Below are 10,851 nucleotides of genomic sequence, written 5' to 3'. Positions count from 1 at the left end.
CCTTGTTCTAACATCTTGCTGGGCACTTTGATGTGTATATTACCTGCAGGATCTTCTCAATCCTCACAACTACCTTTTGAGGCAGATAGTATATTATTCCCGTTGCACATAGAAGCAAACCAAGGCTCAGAGAGGTTAAGTAACTTTATAAAGCCACAGAGGACAGTGGCAAAGGCCCAGTGCCTTTTCTATCAGGCTATCTTGCTTCCATTTTCAAAGCAGTTTTGTGTCCCACCTTGTATCCTTTGCTCACAGCCTTGTCAATAAGAGCCTCCAGACAGCTCTTATTAGTCCTATTAATTGCTTCTTCCTAATTCCCGGGAATGGAATTGAATGGTAAAAATTGAATGGGTAGACACAATTTCTGAGACTCTTTTCTATGGAGCTATGTTTGTGTCCCCCACACAAATTCATGTGTTGAAACCCTAACCTCCAACGGGATGATATCTCACTGGGATGATATTAGGTAGGGCCTTTGGGAGGTAATTAAATCACAAGGGTGGAGCCCTTATCAATGGGATTAGTGTCCCTATAAGAAGAGAAAGAGGCTGGTGCTCTCTCCCTCTCTGCCAAGTGAGGACACAGCAAGAAAGTTGCTGTCTACACACCGTAAAATGAACCCTCACTGGAACCAACCATGCTGGCACCCTGATCTTGGACTTCCAGCTTCCAAAGCTCCGAGAAAGAAACTTCTGTTGTTTAAGCCCCAGGCTGTGGTATTTTGTTATAGGAGCCTGAACTGACGAAGGCACTCCAATCTATTTTGCACAATATTTCCTTCTTGGGTTGTGTCCGGGGACCTTGTTCATGGCACTGACCTTCCACATGTGCTTGGTGATTCTTGTGAAATCCTTTTCCATAACCCAGTTCTCCCATCAACATCACTCCCTTTGTCTCTCTCTTTTTGATCATTGCCTTCTACATATTAATTTTTGTTTTCATGTTTCTCCTCTCTCCCCTGGTAGTACACAGAGGCCGGGCTTGGCCAGTGTTCATTGCTGCATATGGAAGCTTGCTTTCTCATCTTTCAAAAAGCTACTGTGGTTGGAATTTTCGTTGCACAACCATTTCTGGCTTGTTTTCCTTCTGGGTGGAGAATTGCACTTCTCTGCCCCTTGGCCTTGAGTTGTGCCACACGAGTGGAAGTGGCATATGTGACTTCTGGGTGGCAGCATTTAATTACTGGGGTGAGATCCTCCGGGGCTTTTTTTTTCCCCCTGAATGAGGCAAGCTCTGAAGCATCTGTTGAGATGGAGCCTCATGAGGTGGAAGCAAAGTGGAGAACTGAGCCAGCACACAAAGGAGGGTGGCTGCCTGTCCTAGAAAGCTGCCAAGGCTGGAAGAAATAGCTTGATCGTGTCACATGACCGTGATTTGGATTTCAGTGTGTGTGTATGTATATGTGTGTGTGTGTGTGTGTGTGTGTTTTGTTACTGTATCATTACCTAGCCTATACAGATTGACGCTGCCTTATTCATCAACTCTAGGTTTGAAGTCAGGCAATGCCTTGCTTTTTTTGCTCAGCAGCCTGGTGTGAGGTTAGAACTGGGGGTTTGCAGGCAGATAGACTTGCCTTTTATGAGCTTGGGCAAGTTACTTTCTCCATTTTCTGGCTTTCTTTTCTGTGAATGGAAGTGACTGAAACCCACCTCCCAGGGTTGTTGTGAGAATTAAATGTAGTAACACACGTAAAGTAGGCGGCACACTGTAGGTTTTTAATGGGTGCTTATTTTCTTTCTTCCTTTCTTGCACCATCATTAACTCTAGGATTATGTGCCCATTTTTTTTTCTCCTAACGATTCCACTTTTCTCATTAACCAGTGTTTCCTCGTTGCCAGGATTTAGTGGCAAGTAACCGTTTCCTCTGTCGCTTCCTCTGTCTTCTGAAAGATGAGATCATCAGCAGGGCAAGGCGAGGATTTATCAGAAGAGACGCCCAACAGATGTCCAGAGAGCATAAATCCCCACTGCTGCTCCGTCTTGCCTCTGTGCCAGCTTTGTAATCGGTATTAGGGAAACATGGTCTGGTTGATTGCTCTGCAATAGACTCTTACAACATTAACACTTGTTTCCCTATATTCTAGTTCTCCAAGATATTTGTTTTCATTTTCAATTTTGATTCAATTCAATTCGATGCTTGTTTTGACTTGGGCACAGGGCTGGGCATAGAGGATACAAAGGTGGATTCAGGCATAGCCCCTGCCTATAGGAAAGCCAGTCGGGTGAGGGAGACTGATATATCAGCCAAACCAATCAACTAACCCAGAGACCCAAATCCCAGACGTTGCAATAATTATAAAAATGTAAGCATGTACATGCTATGGAGAGAAGACTAAGAGGAACGTGTGAATTCCATTGGGTCTAGAAGTGGGAGAGGGATGAAGATGACTTCTTTTAAAAGGTTATGTTTTATCAGGGTTTTGATGGATGAACAGGAGTTTGCTAAGTGGATTGTAGAGGAACAGCATTTGGGAAAAAGGCACAGCATTGCAGAGGCACAGTTGCGTGGAACCTGAGACATAGTTCTGGGCAACAGAAGCGGTTTGATGTTTAACAGAGCAGAAAATGCGAAGTGGGAAGCAGCAAGAGATAAAAAAGAAGGTTTTATCCAGGCAGGCAAGGGGGAAAGGACATATTCTATTTTTTAAAAAATAATAGAGTCGAGACCTCGCTGTGCTGCCCAGGCCAGTCTCGAACTCCTGGGCTCAAGTGATCCTCCTGCCTTAGCCTCCCAAAGTGCTAGGATTACGGGCATGAGGCACTGCTCCCAGCCAGAAAAGGACACATTCTTGAGGTTGTAGGTATTTCTTTGACCTACTTCTCTTTGAGATTTACTCTATATTGCTTTATACTAGCCACAAACTCCAGTTGACACGGGTGTGTTTGTTGTCTTGCCTGATAATGTTGTTGAGTGTTCAGCACTCCTAGATCTGGATGGGGCGAAGAACTCACTGGAAAGAGCATGGAGTCAGGATAAGGACACTTAGGCTTCAATCCTGACTTTCTGCTTTATTATCCCCATGTTTTTAGGCAAGTACCTGAGGGTCTCCATTACCTCCCCTACAGAATGAGGAATATCATTCCTGCCTCACTGAGCACTTATGAGGATTAATAATTCAATAAATATTTAAAGTACTCAGCCCGGAACTTGGCATCCGTTGGGTGCGCTTCGCATCTTCCAGTTGGAGAAATCAGTTATCAGTGTTTGGGAGTTGCATTAAGCTCATAAAGTAATGGCTGGAAATTATTAAGATTGATTTTTAAAAATACAATCATGCTTTTATTTTCTTTTGGAAAACAGAACTTTATTGCTTCTCACAACAAAACTTTCAGTGCCCTCCGAGGAGAAAAATAAACTTACAAAAGAAAAAAAAAGAAACTTAAAAACAATATGGCACTTCTGTGGTATCAAGCCTCAAAGGTCTTACCTCGAGATTATTTTGGTAAATCCATTTACATTTTTTTAGTCTCCCCTCCCCTCCAATGTCATGTGTAAGAACACATAGATATTTTGACATCTCCATTGTGATATTTATTTTAAGCCATCAGTAGAGTTTTAAATATCTTAGAAGTGAACTCTGGCCTCTGTGGAAGGCAAACTAATTATTTCCCAAACTGTTCCATAAAGCCAGAACCTGGCATTTATTCCTGGCAGCTTAGAAAGGAAACGTGAAGATGCTGGCTTTCTAAGGAAGGGGATGTGCAGTCAAACAAGAGCTCAGAAACTTGGGGGCCCAAAGCCATCTTGGCTGCTATATTTTGCAAGGAAGCCCTGGTGTCCCTGGAGAGCAGCTGGGACCAGAGTTTCACACAAGCGGTTTTGCAGATGATCCCAGCGAAACAAAAGCAGTGGTGATGAGTGGAACAAAGATTTATTGTTACAGATATGTCAAGGACTGACAAAGGTCTCGTATGATTATGTCACCATACAACATCTCTACGAAGTAGAGATTCTTTAGTCCCCTTTTATTAGGTGTGGAAACTGAGTCTTGGAGAAGTTAAGTCTCTTGTCCAAGGTCACATGGCCAGGTGGTTGAGAGCTGTAGGCCTGACACCAGAAAGTCTGATCTCAACCATTCTGCTGCCTTAGTGTCTTCATGCTGTGTGTCCTTGGGCAGCTCACCTAACCTCTCTGAGCATCTCAGTTTCTCCTTCCACTAAATGGGAATGATAATACCTACTACCAACCTCACAGTTGTGCTGATCAGAAATGCTTCCAGAGGTGGAAGCACTTAGAAAAAATAAGTGAAAGCAGAACATCGTAATTAACTTGGCTTTGAGTAATGATATCTTCTATTTCTTACTGTGACAACATCCCTAGCTCTATACAGTCCCTTACCTGGCTGTCAGTTTTCTGTTGTAGATGATACCACCTTGGGCCACATACATATTCCTTCCTCTTTTGTCTTTAGCCATTTCCCCATCTCAGGCTTTTGTTTTCTCCCCAGTCATCTCACTTACAGGGTTCCCTAACTTCTGAAGCTCTCACTGATTTTTTTTCCAGAGAGTTTTATGGCGGAGAGGAGCACCAGGGTCCATGGAATTCATAGAAGAAAGTCCACCAACTAGCCTGTGGGTTTAGAGGGGCTTTCTGGATGATCTAACTCTTGCGAGATGAAGATGATGTAGGTTGAAGCAGAGAGGAGAGAGGAAAGGGCATTGCAGACTTGTGCAAAGGCATGGCACGTTTTGGGATCCACAAGTATTTGCGTAAGATAGGGTGAATGTGGGTGGAGTGTTGGTATGGTTCGTTAAATATTGAATGAATGCTTTTCCCTTTGTTTCCTTAGCTAACTTAGTCTCAGGAGAACAAAGACTGTACCTTAATTTCATACCCCTCACAGTGCCCAATCTAGGGATAGACACAGAGCCAGCCCCAGGAAGTACTCAGGTTATTGATTTATTAACACTCTCATGCGGATGGGTTGGACTTTATTGGGTGAAATAGGCAGCACAACAATGCAGAAAGCCTGTAGAACTTGGAGTCAGACAGATCTTGTGCAAGCCATTTAGTCTCTCTCAGCCTCAGTTTCTTCATCTGTGAGATGGGGCTAATACATACATACCTCATAGAATTGTTGTGGAAGTGAAATGAGACATGATATATGTGAAAGGATGAATCAAGCAGACTCAACACATGCTAGTTCTTGTTTTTGCTGACTGCCTGCTATCGTCTCAGTATTTGTCCCCCTAAAGCTCATGTTGAAGTTTGATCCCAATGTTGGAGGTGGCAGACTCATGGGAGGGGTTGGGGTCATGGAGGCAGATCCCTCATGAATGGCTTGGTGCCCTCCTCATGTTTATAAGTGAGTTACTGCTGTATTAGTTCCTGTGAGAGCTGATTGTTAAAAAGGCTTGATACCTCCCCCTCTTTCTCTTGCTTCCCCTCTCGCCATGTGATCTCTGCATATGCGAGCTCCTCTTCACCTTCCACCATGAGTGGAAGCAGCCTGAGGCCCTCACCAGATGCAGATACTGGCACCGTGCTTCATGGACAGCCTGCAGAACCAGTAGCTAAATAAACCTTTGTTTGTTTATAAATTACCCAACCTCAGGTATTTGTTTATAGCAACGCAAGATGGACTAAGACACCGCCCTCTGATCATGAGGTCAGGAGATTGAGACCATCCTGGCTAACATGGTGAAACCCTGTCTCTACTAAAAAATACAACAAAAATTAGCCGGGCGTGGTGGTGTGCGCCTGTAGTCCCAGCTACTCGGGAGGCTGAGGCAGGAGAATGGCGTGAACCCAGGAGGCGGAGCTTGCAGTGAGCCGAGTTTGCGCCACTGCACTCCAGCCTGAGGGACAGAGCGAGACTCCGTCTCAAAAAAAAAAAAAAACAAAAAAAAGACCATCTTCTGTGTTAATATGTTAATCCTAACTGCTTCTTGGAGGCTCCAACTTTGTTGATGGCAGCCAGGAATAGGTGAATAGGTGAGTTATTTAAGTAGACAGTTGCCCACATTGGCTTCAGCTCAAGCTAACTCACCACAGCTACCACACCAGAAGATGCTCTACACTCTGCTGTCCTGGAGATGGAAGTTTGCTCCCATAACAAATAAAATAGAGGAGGGCATTTGAGTGCAGGAAACATTTTGTTTATTTACACTCACCTCTACCAAAGGCAGGAGGAGGCTTGTAGGACATGGGAAATGTCCTACAATGCAATCCCTTTCATCTGTAGTCACTGACCTTCCTCTGATATGTCACTCTTCACCTGTTACAGGGTATACCCCACAACTGCAGGGATCTTTGCTTGTATTCCAAGCCTAGAACAGTACCAGACAAAGAGTAAGGGCTCTATAATTTCTGGAAAGAATAAATGCATTAATCTCACCAAGCCTCCGTCCTTTATTTGCCTTCTAGATGGAATTGGCTAGATCATGTGTCATCCTATCATATCACTACTTTCTTCCTTTGCATTTGCTTGTTTTTGTGATAAAATTATCAGTGTGGAAGGTGGAATGTAGCTTAGGCAACAAGAGCGGAGTTCCTACAGGGAGGTCTTATTTACTGTCTGCTTTGGTCAAACTTGAAGTGGGTTCTTGGCTCATCTTGGTCTTGAGGGCTCAAGACCGTTCATGCTGGTTGATGTTTGGTCAGCTTGTTCCCAATGTGCCTTTGATTCCCTGACTTGGCACACTTTGAAGCTACTCTCCCAAATAAATAGATTTCTCCCCCTCTAATAAAGGATCAATATAGCTATACTGTTAATATTATTGATAGTCTCTTCCTCCTTTCCATGCCAAAAAACTGAGCCGAACTGAAACTGGCCCAATTGTCCCATAGAACTGATGTTTATGGTTTCTTTTAAATACACATAGAAATTGGCCATCCCAGTCTTGAAACTTGCAAAAGTTACATTTGTCTTATCTGAGTTCCTTTCTCAGGCCTCCAACCATCAGGCTTCCCAGATAGAATCAAGGAGCTGAAACTCACCAGATCTCTGAATCTGGACAGTGAAAGCACCCGACCCTTCATCCATCATGACTGCCTAAGCAACCACTTGCTTCTTGTTGACAAACTCCTCTTCCTTTCCTCTCCCTAATTCCTGTTTTCTCACAAATGGTTACATTTCTTCCCTGCTATAAAAATACCTAATTTTAGTCAGCTAGGGGAATGGATTTGATGCTGATCTCCCATCTTCTTGGCTGCAGGATCCAATTGAAGCCTTCTTCCCTGGCAATACTCATTGTCTCAGTGATTGGCTTTCTGTGCAGCAAGCATTAGAACCTAGACTGAACCTCTGGTGTTTCAGTAACAAGATCACCAGGTGTTACGAAGCACCTGTATGCATTGGGAAGTCCTTGCTCATTTCCTTCCCTCTTAGGCATAATGGATGTCTTCAGATACACAAGTGCAATCTAAGAAACAGATCCACATATCTAACTGTGCCTGCGTCTTGAAAGTCCACCCAGCTGATGTTTCAAAAGGCAATTGAAAAGATGGTAGCTAGACTCCTCTTGAAGCTTCATTTCCATTTTGATTTTCTTATTCAACACAATGTGATATTTTCTTGAAAGGGAGACTCCAATTGAGGGGCCAAGAGGTGGGTCAGCTTCACCAAGATAAGAGTAATTACTGGCCAAAAAAAAAAAGAAAAGGAAAAGAATTTCAGATAGAATAAGTGGATGCAGCCTGTCTGCTTGAGCTTTGCTGCTAATTACCAGACTGCTATCCCTCATTCAGAGGGAAGAACTCTACTCCAGCTGAGTTTCAATTTAAAATATGAGGTTGGTGATCAAACACAAGCTTCACCCAAAACAATGACGTTGGAAGAGATGGCTCCGATGAATGAAGGTAGCTGTGATGGAGCTTAATAAAATGAGGGTTTCAAGGATGTGGTATTTCTGTTTTCATTTCACAATAATAAAGTCATGAATGAGAGAAAAATATGCTGGTTACATTACTTTAAAATACCTTGGCAAAAATCTAATTTCTTATTGATTAGTTTCCCATCGAAGGGAAGGCCTGTAGATAAAAGAAAATTGACTGCTGAGAATTCTAAAATAAAGAAAGTAAATGAGGGAAGATGTTTAAATTTTTAAGAGGAAGAAAAAGTATAATCAATGTCCCCAAATATGTCACTTGTACAAGTACTGCTGGGACTGAGAGCTAAGCTGTTCTTGATCTGATTGACTTACTTTCATTGACACCAATATTTAAAAAATGTAAAATCAACAGACTGGCTTTGGAAAGCAAAGCCCATAGAAAGATGTTCCAGGTACCACGGAAAGTAAAAGCATGTAGGAGTGAGAATTATTCCTGGAAATTGGGTAGGGAATTATTTGATAGGTTACTGTATGCTCGTGACTTTTGGTTGCAAGCAATAGGAACCTGAAAACTGGTTTAAACCAGTGGTTCTCAATAGGAGGTGATTTTGCCCCTTGGGACAGTTGGCAATGATTGCAGCTGTTTTTGGTGGCCATGACTCGTGGGTGAGAATGGCTCTAGAAGCCAGGAACATTGCTAAACATCCTGCAATGTACAAGCCAGCCCCCATCCAGCCAAACACTATCAATAGTGTTGAGGTTCAGGAACTCAAGCTTAAACAGAAAAAGTAGAATTTGTTGATTCACAACTGAAAAATCCAGGATGAATCTATTTGGATCCAGATGTTCAAACTGACATCAGAAGTGGCTTTTTCTCTCAGGCCTGCTACTTTCCTTGTAAGATTTATTTTTGGGGAGTTTTTTTCCCCTTGTAGTCCCAAGACAGGCTTCAGCAGCTCAGCTGAAGGCTGCTGCCAGGTTAGGGGTTCTAGTGACAGAAGAGCTTATCTTTCTCCTTGCTTCTCCCTAGGAATTCTGAGATATACTCTTATCTTTTTTTTTTTCACCTTTTAAGTTCAGGGGTACACGTGCAGGTTGTGTAGGTTTGTTACATAGGTAAACATGTGCCATGGTGGTTTGCTGCACAGGTTATCCCATCACCTAAGTATTAAGCCCAACATCCCTTAGCTATTCTTCTTGATGCTCTCTGTCCCCCACCACTCTGACTGACAGGCCCCAGTGTGCATTTTTCCCCCCAGGTATCCTTGTGTTCTCATTTTTCAGCTCTTGCTTATAAGTGAGAAAATGCAGTGTTTGATATTCTGTTCTTACATTAGTTTGCTGAGGATAGTGACTTTCAACTCCATTCATGTCCCTGCAAAGAACATGATCTCATCCATTTTTATGGCTGCATAGTATTCCATGGTGTATATGTACCACATTTTCTTTATCCAGTCTATCATTGATGGGCATTTAGATGGATTCCGTGTCTTTGCTATTGTGAATAGTGCTGCAGTGAACATACAAGTGCCTGTATCTTTATAATAGAATGATTTATATTCCTTTGGGATATATACCCAGTAATGGGATTGCTGGGTCTAATGGCATTTCTGCCTCTAGGTCTTAGAGGAATCACTACACTGTCTTCCACAATAGTTGAACTAATTTACACTCCCAGATTGACTCTCATTTAACTAAACTGTCACATGATCATCCCTGAACCACTCCTTGTGAGGATGGAGTATTCTGATTGACTAGGCTTGGGACACACATCCATCCTTGACTCTGGGGACAGAGGTGTTGAATTGATACCAGTTACACCAGTGTGCTGGTGGGCTGAGAGGGCAGGAAGGTGCTTTACCAAAAGGAAAAATGAAGTGCTATATTCAGAATTAGAGAGTAGATGCTGAGCAGCCAACAATCAGATGCTCACTACATTTGTTTTCTGCAAAAATTCTGAGGAGTGATGGTGTGGGGGCCACTAGGACCCTCTACAACATCTCTCTCTCTTCCCCTGTCATCCAAAAAACCTTCAGAAATACACCTATTGTAGTCTCTCTCTCTCCTAACACTCACGTTGTTACATTGTCATAAACGTATTTATCTACCTATCCACCTGTTCCCTTAGGCTTTTCAAGACCTAAACACAGGGATGATGTCTAATTCATCTTTGTGTTTCCAACACCTTGCATAGAGTAGAGCACCTAGTAGGCTAAAGTGAAACTCTTCTTTTTCAGTAGAATGTCAATTTGATCCTTTTAGACTATCCATCATGCATTAATCAGATGTTTATTGTGCAGCTACTATGTGTCCCCCACTCAAACCCTGGGGAATAAGCAAGAAACAGGATGCAAGTGTGGAATGTCACATATGGTAGGGTGGCAGCCATCTTACGAGTGATCCAAAGTGAGTTACACAATGCAAAGGGAAGTCCTGAGAGCTATGGAAACCACAGCAAGGGTCCACTTTGGAGTGGGAGTCTTTACAAGCGATGCTCAAAGGGGGCAGCCTGGAAGATAAGTGAGATTTAGTTTTGCAAAAGGAGCGGGTGGAAGAGCTTTCTATGCAAAGGGAATAGCCTGTGTGAAGGCCTTGAGATGGTGGTGGGGTCCTCAGTTCCGGTATTATGTCCTGTTAGCAAGATAGGGTTACATTTTAGGTCTGATTTAAGGAAGGGTGGCCTCAGCTCTCCACTTTGATGGGCCTCTGAGACAGTGATAATTCAATTGCAAGGAATAGAAACCCATTCAAAGAGATTAAAGTGGATATGAAATTTTACTGTCTGGACACACAAGGCTCTCTGGAAATCCGACGTATGCAGCTGGACCTCATGGGACTTGGAATGTTGTTAATCAGCCGCTTTCTCCATTTCACTCTCTGGAGCTTACCTCTGCACATCTGCTCCATTCTCTTCTCTGCAGACTGGCGCCTGCCGTTGGAATCTCAGGGTTTGCTGTTTCCCAGTTTCTACTTGCCCAGGGCCCTGGGACTTCTTCTTCATGACCTTACAGCTCCAGCTTCTAATGCACTCTGATCAATTGCGCCTCTATCTGAATGTAAGAGTTTCCCAGGTGTAGG

The sequence above is a fragment of the Homo sapiens genome, chromosome 16 (assembly GCF_000001405.40).
Source record: "Homo sapiens chromosome 16, GRCh38.p14 Primary Assembly".
Lineage (NCBI taxonomy): Eukaryota > Metazoa > Chordata > Mammalia > Primates > Hominidae > Homo > Homo sapiens.
This window is presented reverse-complemented; position numbering follows the sequence as displayed.